General features: G+C 51.6%; 1 protein-coding gene across 14 annotated transcripts in view; it reads right to left on the reverse strand.

The window, feature by feature from the left end:
- Nucleotides 1–16,770, reverse strand: part of CPAMD8 (C3 and PZP like alpha-2-macroglobulin domain containing 8) — a 133,860-nt gene that overhangs the window by 105,751 nt on the left and 11,339 nt on the right. For all 14 annotated transcript variants that reach the window (NR_165644.1, XM_011527917.2, XM_047438612.1 and 11 more), the window contains exons 4-10: nt 12,891–13,056; nt 12,763–12,815; nt 10,602–10,619; nt 9,804–9,858; nt 5,572–5,685; nt 3,565–3,649; nt 1,713–1,821 (exon numbers count right to left, since the gene is read on the reverse strand). Coding sequence is in view for 13 of the 14 variants with exons in the window: in XM_011527917.2 (XP_011526219.1) it covers nt 1,713–1,821; nt 3,565–3,649; nt 5,572–5,685; nt 9,804–9,858; nt 10,602–10,619; nt 12,763–12,815; nt 12,891–13,056 (600 nt within the window). In the remaining variant the exon portion in view is untranslated. The remainder of the gene's footprint in view (nt 1–1,712; nt 1,822–3,564; nt 3,650–5,571; nt 5,686–9,803; nt 9,859–10,601; nt 10,620–12,762; nt 12,816–12,890; nt 13,057–16,770) is intronic.

A 16,770-nucleotide genomic window follows, 5' to 3' on the forward strand; every position in this document is an offset into this window, starting at 1 on the left:
CCAAAAAAGGTTACAAAACTTTAAACAGGTGGGAATATAAAATAGTGCAGCCACATTGACCATTTGGCAGTTCCTCAAAAGGTCACACATAGTGTTACCCTCTGACCTAGCAATTCCGCTCCTAGGAAAGAACCCAAGAGAAACAAAAATGTAGGTCCACAGAAAAACTTGCACAGGGATGTTCATAGTAGCATGAGACATAATAGCCAAAAAGCAGAAACAACCCAAATGTCCACCAGCGGATGAAGGGATAAACACATTGTGGTCCATCTGTACCAGGGAATATGATGCAGCCATAAAAAAGGAATGAAGCATTGATCATGCTACGATGTAGACAAACATCAAAAACATGATGCTGAGTGAGAGAAGCCAGACACAAAAGGACATATAGCATATGATTCATTCACAGAAATGTCCAGAACAGGCAAATCTACAGAGACAGAAAACAGATAGTAGTTGCCAGAGACAGGAGGAGGGAAATGAGGATTCTCTGCAAAAGGACATGAAGGATGTATGGAAGGATGGTGGAACAATTCTAAAATTGGATAACAGCCATGGTTGCACAACTCTGCAACTATATGAAAACCATCAAGCTGTGGCCAGGCGCAGTGGCTCACGCCTGTAATCCCAGCACTTTGGGAGGCCGAGGCAGGTGGATCACGACGTCAGGAGATCGAGACCATCCTAGCTAATACAGTGAAACCCCGTCTCTACTAAAAATACAAAAAAAAAAATTAGCCGGGTGTTGTGGTGGGCACCTATAGTCCCAGCTACTGGGGAGGCTGAGGCAGGAGAATGGCATGAACCCAGGAGGCGGAGCTTGCAGTGAGCCGAGATCACGCCATTGCACTCCAGCCTGGGCAACAGAGCAAGACTCCATCTCCAAAAAAAAAAAAAAAGAAAAGAAAACCATCAAGCTGTACACTCTACATGGGTGAATTGTATGCTATGTGAATGATATCTCAATAAAATTGTTTATGTTTTTATTTTATTTTAGAGATGGGATCTCACTATGTTGCCCAGGCTGGCCTTGAACTCCTGAGCTCAAGAGATCTTCCTGCCTCTACCTTCCAAATATTAAGAGCTGGGACTCCAGGCAATAAAATTAGTGTTTATTAGTGTTTTTTTGTTTTTTGTTTGTTTTTTGAGATGGAGTCTCACTTTGTCGCCCAGGCCATGGTGGTCAGGCTGGTCTCGAATTCATGGCCTCAAGTGATCCGCCCGCCTTGGCCTCCCAAAGTGCTGGGATTACGGGTGTGAGCCACCATGCCCAGCCAAATTGGTGTTTTTTTAACTTTACTTACAATAACCTGTGAGGAAACACATCAAAATATCGATAGTGGTCATGTCCACCTATTGGAGAACAAGTTATCTTTATTTTCTTCCTTTTTATATTTTCTAAAGTCTCTATATTCAGCCTGCAGGAATTTTATCATCAGAAAAATCCCTGCCATATAACTGTTTTAGAAAGTAAAACAGCGGTGGCTCACACTTGTCATCCCAGCACTTTTGGGGGCAAAGGCGAGAGGATCGCTTGAGCCCAGGAGTTCAAGACAAGCCTGGGCAACATAGTGAGATCCTGTCTCTATTCAAAAACTTTTTAAAGGCAGTAAATAAAATAATAACAATAAGAGAAAGTAAAATAAAATGTGTGCTGGTGGAGGTGAACCTGGGGGTTGGGTCAGGGGGTAGAAGGGGTCCCTGTTTCTCACCTTGGTTGTTCTGAGGACAGGGCGTCCCACCTCGTGGCTGTAGTACCCTACACCATTAACAGTCATGTTGATCATTAAGGCACCAGCCACAGGTTTCCCAAAGGTATACCTGGAACAAAAGGATAAAGCATGCTCAATTTCACAGCCAAGATGGCAGGGAGGGCCCAGCCTCAGGAAGGCCAGGTTGACATAGTGTGGCCACTAGTACAGTGATGGATGCAGCTCCCTCCACACCCTGCATCCTGTCCTGACAGCCCTCCCTGCAGCCTGGAATCGGGACAGAAGATGCCAAGGCCCTCCGATCCTCTGCACCAAGCCTCCAGATGGACAGAAAAAGAGACCAAGGGTCAGAGAGGAACTCTGGAACTGAGAAGGCTAGGTTGGTGCCACCTCTGGAGCAGAGTAGTGCAGAGGCATGAGCGACTGAGAGGCACCTGAGCCTAAGCGCCCTATTAAGCTCGACTTTGAACCAAGGACCGAACTTCTCTGAGCCTGTTTCCTCACCCAGAGAATGGGACTCAAACTACCCTCTCAGGGGTGATAGTGAAACTTAAATGTCTGTATGTCACTCCTGATGCAGAGGGAATGCTGGTGGATGGGGAACAGGAGCAAAATGAGAGAGTGCAGGCTGGGCATGGTGGCTTATGCCTGTAATCCCAGCACTTTGGGAGGCCAAGGTGGGCAGATCACTTGAGGTCAGGAGTTCGAGACCAGCCTGGCCAACATGGTGAAACTCTGTCTCTACTAAAAATACAAAAATTAGTTGGGTGTGGTGGCACATGCTTGTGATCCCAGCTACTAGGAGAAGCTGAGGCAGGAGAATCAATTGAGCCCGGTAGGCAGAGGTTGCAGAGAGCTGAGACTGTCACTACACTCCAGCCTGGGCGACAGAGTAAGACTCCGTCTGAAAAAAAAAAAAAAAAAAAAAAAACAAGGATCAACCCCTCTCGGGTCAGCACACTGGCGGGGGTGCTGTTGGATGCCAGGGAGGCCTGCAGAGGGCGGGGAGCAGCCTTGGGGGAGAGGGGAACATGGTGGGGTTGGGAGGGTCACACCCTGGGGGGTAGGGCATTCTTTGGGGAGGGGAGACCCTTGGGGAGGGAAGAACTTAGAGTGGAAGGGCAGGACTTGAGGAAGGAATACACAGCGGGAGAGGGGCATGCTTTGGAGAGACAGGGGCGTGCTCATAGGGGTGAGGACACCAGCATGGAAACAAAGACAGGCAGTGGGTAGAGTGCAAGAGACTCATGTGGCAGGGAGACACCGAGTACTAGGGAGGGAGCGGGGCACAGGGCACCCTTGTGGGAGCAGGGAGGCCATGGAAGAAGTGTCTGCCTGTAGGAGGAGGGGGAAGCCCGGTTGTTGGGGGAGATGGAAGGGGAGGGCAGAGGAGGGGCCCAGGGGGAGGAAGATGCTCTAGGGAAAGGGGTACACTCCAGGGAGGGGGTGCCCCCAGGGGAGGGGCACGGGAAAGGATGATGCTCTAGCGGGTGGCCACATCCTGGGGAGGGGAACCCACAGGGGAGGAGCCCAGCAGGGAGGGAGATACTTTAGAGGGAGGAGGACACCCCAGGGAGGAGGCGCCCACAGGGGAGGAGCCTGGTGGGGAGGGAGATACTCTAGGGGGAGGGGCACCTCCTGAGGAGGGGGCGCCTACTGGAGAGAGTCACAGGAAGGGAGATGCACTAGGGGAGGGGCACACCCCAGGGAGGAGGGAACCAGGAAGGGAGGGGCACACCCATGTGGGAGGGAGGGAGGCAGCAGAGGAGGGGAACGACCTTGAGGGAGCAGCGTGATGGTTGGGGAAGGGGAAGGGCCCCCCCAGTGTGCCCCAGGGGTCCCTCTTTCTCACCTGGCCCGCACAGTGCCTGTCTCACAGGCGTCCAGGTCTTGGATATACCGGGGCGGGTCAATCAGAAGCTCAAACTTGGGCAACACTGAAGAAAGCAAGCAGAGAGGAGGGGCTGGCTTCTGTCCCTAAGGTGGCCTCAGGAGCCCTGACACCGGTGCAAGGTGTCTGAGGACCACAGCACCTGGCCACCACCGAGGTTGACACTGTACCCATCCACACCACTCTGCTGAGCAGCCCTGGGGATTTTGTGGGCTGCATCTATTTCTCATCTTTGGGGGACTAGGACCCCATTTTCCTCAAGGGGCCTCCCCTGTCACTTTTAGACCACGTGCTTAGAGTGTGGCGGATTCCAGCCTATCCCAGGGTGGACACGAGGCCAGGAGGCTCCTCCTAGCCCCTGTGTCTGTGCATGGGATAGAGGTGGCCCTGGGAGCCAACAAGGGGCATCCCCAGGGTGACTGCAACAGAGAGCTGATTTCTCCATTTGCTTCTGGACTCAGCCCTGGGAGTATCAAGCCATCTTGTCACCAGGGGCGGAGGTGACACCCTGGAGCAGCCGGTAAACCAGAAAGAATCGGGTCCTGAGAGAACTCTTGTAGGAGCCTAAGAATCTTTTCGTTCTTTCTTTTCTTTTCTTTTCTTTTCTTTTTTTTTTTGAGACAGATTGTCACTGTGTTTCCCAGGTTGGTGTGCAGTGGCACGATCTTGGCTCACTGCAACCTCCTCCTCCTGGTTCAAGCAATTCTCCTGCCTCAGCCTCCCAAGTAGCTGGGACTGCAGGCACATGCCACCACGCCTGGCTAATTTTTGTATTTTTAGTAGAGATGGGGTTTCACCATGTTGGCCAGCCTGGTCTTGAACTCCTGACCTCTAGTGATCTACCCACCTCAGCCTCCCAAAGTGCTGGGATTACAGACGTTAGCTGCCATGCCTGGCCACCTTTTTTTTTTTCTGAGACAGGGTCTCACTTTGTCACCCAAACTGGAGAATAGTGGTGCAATCACAGTTCACTGCAGCCTTGATCTCCTGGGCTCAAGCAATCCTCCCGCCTCAGCTTCCCGAGTAGCGGGGACTACAGGCACGTGCCACCATGTCCAGATAATTGTTTTAAAGTTTTATACAGACAGGGACTATGTTGTCCAGGCTGGTCTCAAACTCCTGGCCTCAAGCGATCCTCCAGCCTCAGCTTCCCAAAGTGTTGGGATTACAGGTGTGAGCCACCACCATGCCTGGCCTACAATACTTTTTTCTATAAAAGGCAAGAGTCCACTTTGGGAGGCTGAGGCGGAAGGATTGCTTGAGACCAGGAGTTCTAGACCAGCCTGGGCAACATGACGAAACCCTGTCTCTACTAATACAAAAATTAACCAGGTGTGGTGGCTCACACTTGTAGTCCCAGCAACTCAGGAGGCTGAGGAGGGAGGATCACTTGAACTTGGGAAGTCAAGGCTTCAGTGAGCCAAGATCGCACCACTGCACTCCAGCCTGGGTGATGGGTGTGAAACCCTGCCTCAAAAAAAAAAAAAAAGTAAGAGTGTAGGACCATCCCCTGAAACTATACCCAGCCATCATGAGCCCTCAGTAAACGGGGACTCATGTCATCCTCCACCTCTTCACTGCCATCTTCACCAGTTTCCTTTTCTTTTTCTTTTTTTTTTTGAGACAGAGTCTCGCCCTGTCGCCCAGGCTGGAGCGCAGTAGTGCGATCTTGGCTCACTGCAACCTCTGCCTCCCGGTTCAAGTGATACTCCTGCCTCAGCCTCCCAAGTAGCTGGGACCACAGGTGCGCGCCACCACGCCCGGCTAATTTTTGTATTTTTAGTAGACACGAGGTTTCGCCATGTTGGCCAGGCTGGTCTCAAACTCCTGACCTCAAGTGATCCGCCCACCTGGGCCTCCGAAAGTGCTGGGATTACAGGCGAGAGCCCTTGCACCCGGCCTTCTTCACCAGTTTCTAAGGTTTCTCCCAGATCTGAAATCCCAAGACCCTGAGATTCTCCAACTTACCATACTTCTGAACTTCAAAAGACTTGTTGTACGCGTGGCCTTGCATTTCAACAAAAATGAACCATTCTCCCAACACAGGCTGGTCGGACAAGGGGAAGCTCATGTTGGTGATGCCTGTGTGAAGAGAGAGGGCAAGGGCTTTTTCAGAGAGCCACAGACACGGTGAGGTACGGGAAGAGGGAGCCAGGACCCTGCTCCTTCTCCTTCCCTGAGCAGCCCCCCAGGAGAACTGGAGACCACAGAGAAGCTGGCGGGGTCTGTGCAGAGCAGCACCCTGTAGGATCAGGCCAGCGGAGCAGGTTTGACACCCCGGCGGGCTTCGAAGGGATGCAGGAAGGGACTGGACCCGCGGTTCCCGGGACAGCCTTGCAGCCAGGGCCAGGGGCAGGCAGTGAGCTGGACAAACGAGGGAAATGAGCCAGCCCGGCTCATTCACTCCATCCCCCGCCACCCGAGTCATTTCCAGCCTGGGCACTACTGACACCTGGGGCCACGTGGCTCTCTGGGGTGGAGGTGTCCTGTGAGCTGTAGGATGCTGAGCAGCACCCCTGGCCTCCACCCAACAGATGCCAGTAGTACCAATGCCCCCCACAATATAACGACCTAAAAAAGTCCCCCAGATACTGCCAATATCGCCCCTAGGGGGCAAAATCACCCCTGGGTGGAAATCCCAGAGAGAGAGAGAGACAGACAGAGAGAGAGAGAGAGAGAAACAGACAAGACAGACAGGGTCTCCTGCCAGGATAGGGTTTCTCAGCCTCAGCACTACTGACATTTAGGGCCAGATCATTCATTGTGGTGTGGGGGCATCCTGTAAACTGAGGGGTGCTGACCATCATCCCTGGCCTCCACTCACCAAAGGTCAGTAGTACCAATGCCCTCTACAATATAACAACCTAAAAAAGTCCCCCAGACATTGCCAATATCGCCCCTAGGGGGCAAAGTCACCCCTTGGTGGAAATCCCAGAGCACTGAGGGGTGCTGAGCATCTTCCCTGGCCTCCACTCACCAGATGCCAGTTGCACCCCTTGTCCTCCACAAAAGTCCTGACAAGCCAAAATGTCCCCAGACATTGCCATGTCCCCTGGGGGCAGAATCGCCTGTCCGACCCCCCACCCCTCCATGAGAACCACCCCCCAACTGAACTAGAGCACGCACACACTTTAGAACAGAGCACTCTCTCCCCAAACATCCCCCCAGAAACACCATCAGCCGCTGACATGGGAGCTGTCATTTGCTTTGCGCCTGTGCCTCTGAGCCCCGTCCGCAGCTGTTTTCACTGGGAGCCATGGAGGAGTTGGAAAGGGCACATTGACTCTAGGCAGTGCCAGGGGATCTTCCACTCCTGAGTGTGACACGCTCCACTCGTCCCCAATGATCATATGGGGAGGGCCATACAGGGAAGGGACAGGGAGAGTGGTTCCCCTGGGTCTCACGACAGAACCGAAAACCCATAGCGGCGCCCACGGCTTCTCTCAATCACATTGGAGTCAGAAGATGTGATGGCTAAAATGGCTTTTTCCCCCTCATATTCAGGCAAAGTGGGCCTTTGATGGTTACAGGACATTCGGGGATGTGTGTCCTGAGCACGTGTTTTGTAAGGGGTCTGTGGCCAACTTTGCCAAGTGCTCCCTGAGAGAGGGGCACAGTCACCCTGGTTGAGAATCATGGGTCTACACACATCCCAAAGGGTTTTTTTTTTATTTTTTTGAGACAGAGTCTTGCTCTTTTGCCCAGGCTGGAGTGCAGTGGCATGATCTCAGCTCATGCAACCTTCACTCCCGGGTTCAAGAGATTCTTGTGCCTCAGCTTCCTGAGTAGCTGGGACTTTAGGCACCCGCCACCATGTCCAGCTAATTTTGTATTTTTAGTAGAGACAGGGTTTCCCCATGTTGGCCAGGCTGGTCTTGAACTCCTGACCTCAGGTGATCTGCCCGCCTCAGCCTCCCAAAGTGCTGGCATTACAGGTGTGAGCCACCAAGCCAGGCCTCAAAGGGTTTTTTTAAACAGGAGGTTGACCTCTTCCCCAACTCTGTGCTCTTAAGATCAAGTCAGCCTAGGCAACATCTTGAGACCCTGTCTCTACCAAAAATTTAAAAAATTAGCTGGGCTTGGTGGCACGCGCCTGTGGTCCCACCTACTTGGGAGGCTGAGGTGGGAGGATCACTTGAACCCAAGAGGTAGAGGCTGCAGTGAGCTATGATCACACCACTGCACTCCAGCCTAGGTGACAGAATGAGAGAGAACCTGCCTCTTGAGAAAAAAAAAAAAAACTTTTTAAAAAAAGATCAAATCCATTCTCTTCCCTGGCTCTTGCCAGTGTCACCCCTGCTCTCAGCACTCAACATCTCTCTCCTGTCCCCCATCTCCAACCTCACTACCCTAGACATCCACAGCCCTTCCCATAAGTTGACTCCCTGCCTGGGAGATGCTTCCTGGCCCCCTTGCTTTGCCTGGCTGTCCCCCGTTCCTTCTTTGTTGCTGAAAAGGATCCTCCTTCAGGCAGCCTTCCAGGATTGCCTCTGCCACCCCGGGCTGGGATAGAGCCCCATTTGCCATCTCTGAGTTTTGAACTTCTCCTTCCTAGCACTCATCACAACTGACATTATCCAGGCTGTTTAGTTCATGTTTGCTTCCCCCATTGGGTTGAAAGCTCACCCCATGGCAGTATCTATGTGGCGCCCAACAAATAGCTGCTGATACAAAGACAGCAATCAAGGGAACGAGAGGGAGTAAAGAAGGCAGACAGGGAAGATGGAACAGAAGAAAAGAGGCTGAGGCCAGGCACGGTGGCTCATGCCTGTAATCCCAGCACTTTTCCGAGGCCGAGGCGGGCGGATCACCTGAGTTTGGGAGTTCAAGACCAGCCTGGCCAACATGGTGAAACCCTGTGTCTACTAAAAATACAAAAATTAGCCAGGCCTGGTGGCACGTGCCTGTAATCCCAGCTACTTGGGAAGCTGAGGCAGGAGAATGGCTTGAACCCGGGAGGCGGAGGTGGCAGTGAGCCGACATCGTGCCACTGCACTCCAGTCTGGGTGACAATAGCAAGACTGTATTTTAAAAAAAAAGAAGAAGAAGAAAAGAAAAAGGAGAAGGAGGAAGAAGAAGAAAGAAGAAGGAGGAAGGAGGAAGAAGAAGCAGGAGGAGAGGGGGAGGAGGAGGAGGAAAGAAGAAGGAAGATCGAAGAAGAAGGAGGAGGAGGAGGGAGAATAAGACGAAGAGAAGGAGAAGAAGAAAGAACAAGAAAGAAGGAAGATGAAGAAGAAGAAAAGAGGCTGAGACCCAAGGCAGGAGACAGAAGGAGGAAGGGTCACCAACAGACCCCCGTGATCCTGCCTGTGGCTCTACTGTTACCCCATTTCTGGACAGCCTGGGTGTGTGCATGGCCATCCCCAGACTCCCCACACCCTACCTATCCCCTGCCCTCTCCTGGGGCATCACACCCCTCACAGGCAAAGCAAAGTGGGGTATGTCAATTACACAGTCTTCCTAGTCATAGGAAAAGAAAAGAAAAAAGCAAAGTCCTTTCTGACTTCTAGCTGGAAAAGAAATATCTCATGCAATGGGGATGATAAAATCTGCAACCTATAGCAGGAAGAAGCTGGGAGCAGGCCGGGCGTGGTGGCTCACGCCTGTAATCCCACCACTTTGGGAGGACAAGGCGGGTGGATCACCTGAGAGGTCAGGAGTTGGAGACCAGCCTGGCCAAATGGTGAAACCCCATCTCTACTAAAAATACAAAAATAAGCCAGGCGTGGTGCCATGCACCTGTAATCCCAGCTACTCGGTAGGCTGAGGCAGGAGACGCTCTTGAACCCGGGAGGCAGAGGTTGCAGTGAGCTGAGATTGTGCCACTGCACTCCAGCCTGGGTGACAGAGAGAGACTCTGTCTCAAAAAATAAAAAACAAGGTGAGAGCAGGTGCCCCAGTATTCCACAAAGGTCTTGAGTTCTGAGCAGGAGCCCCGCCTGAGTCCTGGGCATAGAGAAACGTGGGCAGAGGGTCCAAATCCACAGGGAAGGTGCTGTGGGCTGGGCTGAGGCTCCCAGATCCAAACCCATGGCATTGTCACCTCCCAGGTGGGTACCTGCCCTCCGCTCCTCCTTGGTCCCCTCCAGCTGGAGCAGCAGTGGGGGTACATTAGCGGTGGGCCCTGGACAGAGCATATTCTGTTTTCCTGGAAGGTTTATCACATCTGCAGCCCCCAAGCCGCAGAGGAAGAAACTTACCGCAGCAGAACGGCTTTAAGTGTCTCCACTCTATCATCCGAGAGCCTCGGGGGTCCTGTTGGTGGTGGAGGGGGACAGACACACGGAGTGAACTCAGGCTAGCCTAGCATGTGCCCAATGTAAGGATTTTCCCAGTCCTCTCTCTTGGGCATGTCAACCATGCAGCGAAGGTCCCAAGATTAATCATTAACCCCGGGGCAAAAAAAAAGCTCTGGATAGAGAAGGATTTGAAAAGCAGAAGGGGATGGGCTGGGCCTACCTCCTCATTTAGGGAGCCGTGTACAAACCTAGAAATGGACGTGGCTGGGTGTGGTGGCTCACACCTGTAATCCCAGCAGTTTGGGAGGCCAAGGTGGGCGGATCACCTGAGGTCAGGAGTTTGAGACCAGCCTGGCCAACATGGTGAAACCCCCATTTCCACTAAAAAAGATACAAAAAAAAATTAGCTGGGTGTGGTGCCATACGCCTGTAGTCTCAGCTACTCGGGAGGCTGAGGAAGGAGAATCGCTTGAACCCGGGAGGCAGAGGTTGCAGTGAGCCAAGATCAGCACCACTGCAATCCAGCCTGGGTGATAGAGCGAGACTCCATTTCAAAAAAAAAAAGGAAACGGACAGACACACACACAGCCCATCCCAGGGCGGACCCAGGGACCAGGATAGAAGAGGCCAGGTCCCAGCCTTGTAAGGCACAGCGGCTCAACCCAGAAGGCAGACAGTGAGCGAAGACAGACCAGATCTTGCAGAAGGTGGGCTACCCGGGCCCCAAGTCCAAGCCGAGGAAGGACAGAGGCCACTCACCAGGATGTAGGCTTCCAGCTGTAATGAAGACACAGATGCAGTGAGCAAATCTTCCAGCAAACCCCAAACCCTTTCAACATGCTCATGCATGGCCTCGGTCCCCGGGACAGGCAGTCGCTGTTATGGGTTAAACAGTGTCCCCCTAGATTACATCCGTTGAATCCTAACCCCAAGTAGGGTCTTTAGAAAGACTCATTACAGGTGGCTCATGCCTGTAATCCCAGCACTTTGGGAGGCCAAGGCGGGTGGATCACGAGGTCAGGAGATTGAGACCACCCTGGCTAACACCGTGAAATCCCGTCTCTACAAAAAATAGAAAAAATTAGCCGGGCATGGTCGTGGGTGCCTGTAGTCCCAGCTACTCGGGAGGCTGAGGCAGGAGAATGGCATGAACCCAGGAGGCAGAGCTTGCAGTGAGCGGAGATTGCGCCACTGCACTCCAGCCTGGGTGACACAGCGAGACTCCGTCTCAAAAAAAAAAAAAAGAAATGGGGAAACCAGGCAGGCACTACTTGAACCACTGGACCCTGTTAATGTCCCCAGCAACACGACAAACCCATGCTGGGTGCCTCCTGATACAAGGCACCGGGGAGGATCCAGTATTGCTTCTGTGGATCCTGCCCGAGATTCACAGACTGAACTTGGTCACAAGGAACCAGGAGACCATCCTACCAAGGGGCGTTCTGCAAAACAACTGCCTGGACTTGCCAAAAATGTCAATGTCATGGAAGACACAGAAAGGCAGTGAGGAACTAATTCAAATTAAAGGAGACCAAGAGACATGATGATCAAATGCAACAAATGACCCACGATCAGATCCTGGACCAGCAAAGAAACATGCTATAAAGGTTACTATTGGAACAACATGGATTTTATATTAGATATTATTATTGTGTCAATGTCAAAATTATTTTCCTCCTCTTTTTTTTTTGGTTTTTCGTTTTTTGTAGAGACAGGGTTGTGCTTTGCTGCCCGGGCTGGAGTTCAAGTGGCACAATCACAGCTCATTGCAGCCTCGAACTCCTGGGCTCAAGAGATCCTCCTGACTCAGCTTCCCAAGTAGCTGGGACTACTGGCACATGCCACCATGCTCAACTAATTTTTATTATTTTAATTTTTTGTCAAGACAGTTTCGCTATGTTGCCCAGAATGGTCTCGGACTCCTGGCCACAGCGATCTTCCTGCCTCAGCCTCCCGAAGTGCTGGGATTACAGATGTGAGACACTGTGCCCAGCCTCAAAATTTTTAAATGTGATGATCCTCCTTGAGTTGTATAAGAGAACGTCCTTGCTCTTAAAGGATACAGGCCAAGTGTTCAGGGCCAGAGAGGCACAGTATCTGTAAGTTATTCTCACATTATTTACCATTAAAATAATTTTGTAAGTATATATACATATACAGACAGAGAGAGAGCGCTAGAAAGAAAGCACATAAATATAGCCAGGTGCAGTGGCTCACACCTGTAATCCTAGCACTTTAGGAGGCTGAGGCGGGTGTATCACCTGAGGTCAGGAGTTTGAAACCAGCCTGGCCAACATGGTGAAACCCCATCTCTACTAAAAATACAAAAATCAGCTGGGCATGGTGGCACACACCTGTAATCCCAACTACTCAGGAGGCTAAGGCAGGAGAATCGCTTGAACCCGGGAGGCAGAGGTCGCAGTGAGCCAAGATCGCACCACTGCACTTCAGCTTGGGTGACAGAGCAAGACTCCATCTCAAAAAAAAAACAGAAAAAAAAATCAGCCGGGCGTGGTGGTGGGCACCTATAATCCCGGCTACTCGGGAGGCTAAGGCAAGAGAATCACTTAGAACCCAGGAAGCAGAGGTTGTAGTGAGCCGAGATAGTGCCACTGCACTCCAGCATTGGCAATAGAGCGAGAGACTCGGTCTTGGGGAAAAAAAAAAAATTAAGCAACAGTCCAGGGCTACCTAAAGCCCTCAAAGGCATTCCTTGTTGAGGGGCAGTGGGCCAGGCACGCCCACCAGCCTTCCTCTGTCACAAAGAACTCCCTGGGGTTCTCCGGGGGACATGAAACAACCATGAAAGAAAATAGAAAAGAGAAGTTCTGGAGAGAAAGACCCGTTTCCGATGGTGGCCCTGGCCAGGTAGTCCCAAGTGGGTGCACTCCGGGCCCGCGGTTTTAGAAGCTGATCTCACCTTCTCGTTGACAGGCCTCAGATTTGGAGAGACGGTGAAGATGCTTATGAGCACTAGAAGAAAGAAGAGAGGCGTGTGACACCTCCAGACCATGGCCGGCCCTCCCTGCATCCATGCTGGCCACTCACCTCGGTGCTGGGGTCTGTACACAGGCTTGTCCGTCTGGATGAATACAGAAGCGCCCCGGCCGTCCACGGTCACCGAGGTCTGGTTGTGAAAGAGGGGCCCCTCCTCCGCCTGCCAGCCGCGGCCCCACACTTTCAGAAGCGCTTGGCCCCGGAGGCCCGTGGGCACCTGCAGGCAGAGGAAGGAGCTTTGGGACAAGAATTCACCCTGGAATGGGCCAAGATACTGGGGAAGGAGTTTGGAGGCCTGGAACAGGGGGAACTCACCCCAGGAGTGACTGTGCCCCAGGGGGACACTTGGCAGTTTCTGGAGATGTTTTGGGGTGTCATAGCTTTGGGGGTGGGGATTGCTACTGTCACTTGAGAGGGGAATAGAGAGGCTGCTCAACATCTTACAGAGCACAGGACACCCCCGCCCTTGGCAAACTGCCCCAAATATCTTTTTTTTTGGAGACAAGGCTTACTCTGTCGCCCAGGCTGGAGTGTAGTGGCACTATCTCAGCTCATTGCAACCTCTGTCTCCCAGCTCAAATGATTCTCCCACCTCAGCCTCCTGAGTAGATGGGATTACAGGTGTGTGTCACCATGCCTGGCTAATTTTTATGTTTTTAGTAGAAACGGGGTTTCACCATGTTGGCCAGGCTGGTCTTGAACTCCTGGGCTCAAGCAATCCATCTGCCTCAGCCTCCCAAAGTACTGGGATTATAGGCGTGAGCCATTGCACCCGGCCATATCTTTTTTCTTTCTTTCTTTCTTTCTTTCTTTTTTTTTTTTTTTCAGGCAGGGTTTATCTCTGTTGCCCAGGCTGGAGTGCAGTGGTGCAATTATGGCTCACTGCGGCCTTGGCCTGCTGGGCGCAAGCAATCCTCCCATCTCAGCCTCCCAAAGAGCTGGGACTACAGGCATGCACCACCAAGCCAGGCTTATTTTGTTTATTTTTGGTAGAAACAAGGTCTCACTCTATTGCCCAGGCTGGTCTCAAACTCCTGGGCTCAAGCGATCCTCCCACCTCAGCCTCAGATTACAGACGTGAGCCACTGTGCCAAGCCTGCCCCAGCTTTCAGCCATGCTGAGGCTGAGAAACACTGGTCTAGTTATGGAGCCTTCTCTTCTGACTCAACAGAGTTGCAAAGCTGTTTTCTGTCATCATCACTGGAGAGTTACAAGAACTGTCTCCCTTCTTGCCAAGTGAATTCACAGCCTGTGAGCGGTGGAAGGAGACCTGGATCCCTTGATATACATATGTACATGTCCAGATATATCTATCATGTATATGTGTCTGTGTTTGCCTCACTCTAAAATCGCAGCACAGGCTGAGCGCAATGGCTCACACCTGTAATCCCAGCACTTTGGGGAGGCTGGGGTGGGCGGATCACCTGAGGTCAGGAGTTCAAGACCAGCCTGGCCAACATGGCAAAACCCCATCTCTACTAAGTACAAAAATTAGCCAGCTGTGGTGGTGGGCACCTGTAATCCCAGCTACTCGGGAGGCTGAGGCAGGAGAATTGCTTGAACCCAGGAGGCAGAGGTTGCATTGAGCCCAGATCGCAACATTGCACTCCAACCTGGGTGACAAGAGTGAAACTCCATCTCCAAAAAAAATAAATAAACAAATAATACAAATAAAGTCACAGCACAAGCCAGGCGCGATGGCTCACACCTGTAATCCCAGCACTTCGGGAGGCCGAGGTGGGCAGATGGCTTGAGGCCAGAAGTTCAAGACCAGCCCAGCCAACATGGTGAAACCCTGTCTCTACAAAAAATACAAAAAAAATTAGCCAGGTGTGTGTCAGGCACCTGTAGTTCCAGCTACTCTGGAGGCTGAGGCACACCAATCACTTGAACCTGGGAGGCAGAGGTTGCCATGAGCTGAGATCACACCACTGAACTCCAGCCTGGATGACAGAGCGAGACTCCGCCTCAAAAAATAAAATAAAATAAAATAAAATAAAATAAAAATCACAACACATATATAGTGCATGACTCCATTGATCTGAATTGTCCAGAAAAGGCAATCCACAGAGACAGGAATCAGATGGGTGGTTGCTAGGGGCTGGGAGAAGGGAGTGGGGAGTGACTACTGATGGGGACAGGGTCTTCTTTTGCGGGGATAAAAATGTTCTGGAACTAGATGGGGGGGCATTGCACAACCCTGTCAATGTAGTAAATGCCACGGAATTATATGTTTTAGAATGGTTAGATGGCTTTTTTGTTGGTTTGGTTTGTGTTTTTGCCACACAGATGGGAGAAAAAAAAAAACCACTTCAGTCTTCAGGATGGAGCCTACACTACACAATTCCTTCCTTCCTTCCTTCCTTCACTACACATTCCCTCCCTCCCTCTCTCCCTCCCTCTCTCCCTCCCTTCCTTTCTTTCTTCCTTCCTTCCATCCTTCCTACACTACACATTCCTTCCCTCCCTCCCTCCCTCCATCCCTCCCTTCTTTCTTTCTTTCTCTTTCTCTTTCTTTCTTTTGTTTTTAGAGACAATATCTTGCTCTGTCGCCAGACTGGAGTCCAATGGTGCGATCAGAGCTCACTACAGCCTCAAACTCCTGGGCTCATGCGATCCTCCTGCCTCAGCCTACTGAGAAGCCAGGACTGCAGGCATGCACCACCATGCCCAGCTAATTTATTTTATTTTATTTTTTGGTAGAGATGGGGTCTCACTATGTTGCCCAGGCTGGGCTCAAACTCCTGGGCTCATGTGATCCTCCCGACTCAGCCTCCCAAAGTGCTGGGATTACAGGTGTGAGCCATGGCACCTGGCCGTCCTCTTATTTTTTTTTAAGCAGATGGGCAGAACGCCCTGGCATGTGAGTCATGCACTATAAAAGCTCCTTTCATGCTTAAAACAAACAAAAGTAATGCCTCCTGTATTAGTCTGTTTTCACACTGGTGATAAAGACATACCCGAGACTGGGTAATTTATAAAGAAAAAGAGGTTTAATGGACTCACAGTTTCACGTGGCTGGGGAGGTCTCACAATCATGGCGAAAGGTGAAAGGCACGTCTTACATGGTGGCAGGCAAGAGAGAATGAGAGCCAAGCAAAAAGGGGTTTCCCCTTATAAAATCATCAGCTCTTGTGAGACTTATTCATTACCATGAGAACAGTATGGGGGAAACCACCCCATGATTCAATTATCTCCCTCTGGGTCCCTCCCACAACGTGTGGAAATTATGGGAGCTACAATTCAAGATGAGATTTAGGTGGGGACACAACCAAACCATATTACCTCCCTCTATGTGACCGGTATTTGATGATAGTTACCCTCTCAGCCATCCCTGGGCACCCAGCAGGTGGACATTACCTCCAAGCAGATCACCTGGGGAGCTATGTGCACCCACCTGTTCCTAAAACCACCCAAATGGCTGGGCACAGTGGCTCACGCCTGTCATCCCAGCACTTTGGGAGGCTGAGGTGGGCAGATCACCTGAGGTCAGGAGTTCGGGACCAGCCTGGCCAACATGGCGAAGCCCCGTCTCTACTGAAAATACAAAAATTAGCCAGGTGTGATGGCAGGCGCCTATAGTCCCAGCGACTCAGGAGGCTGAGGCAGCAGAATCGCTTGAACCCAGAAGGCAGAGGTTGCAGTGAGCTGAGATGGTACAGCTGCACTCCAGCCTAGGTGACAGAGTGAGACTCCATCTCAAAAAATAAAAAATAAAAAAAATGTAAAAATAAAACTATCCAACTGTGGGGTGTTCCTCTTCTGAGGACCCCTATGTCAGCATCTACTCATGTGGTCCCTCAAGGGGTGGATGGACCCTGGTGACCATCACGGGGAACAATCTACCAGATTATCTGACTGATCATCACAGTTCTGCACTGTCATGACCATTGTGTGGGTGAGGTCGGGGTGCACTAGGACCCCCGCTCTC

The sequence above is a fragment of the Homo sapiens genome, chromosome 19, assembly GCF_000001405.40.
Source record: "Homo sapiens chromosome 19, GRCh38.p14 Primary Assembly".
Taxonomy (NCBI): domain Eukaryota; kingdom Metazoa; phylum Chordata; class Mammalia; order Primates; family Hominidae; genus Homo; species Homo sapiens.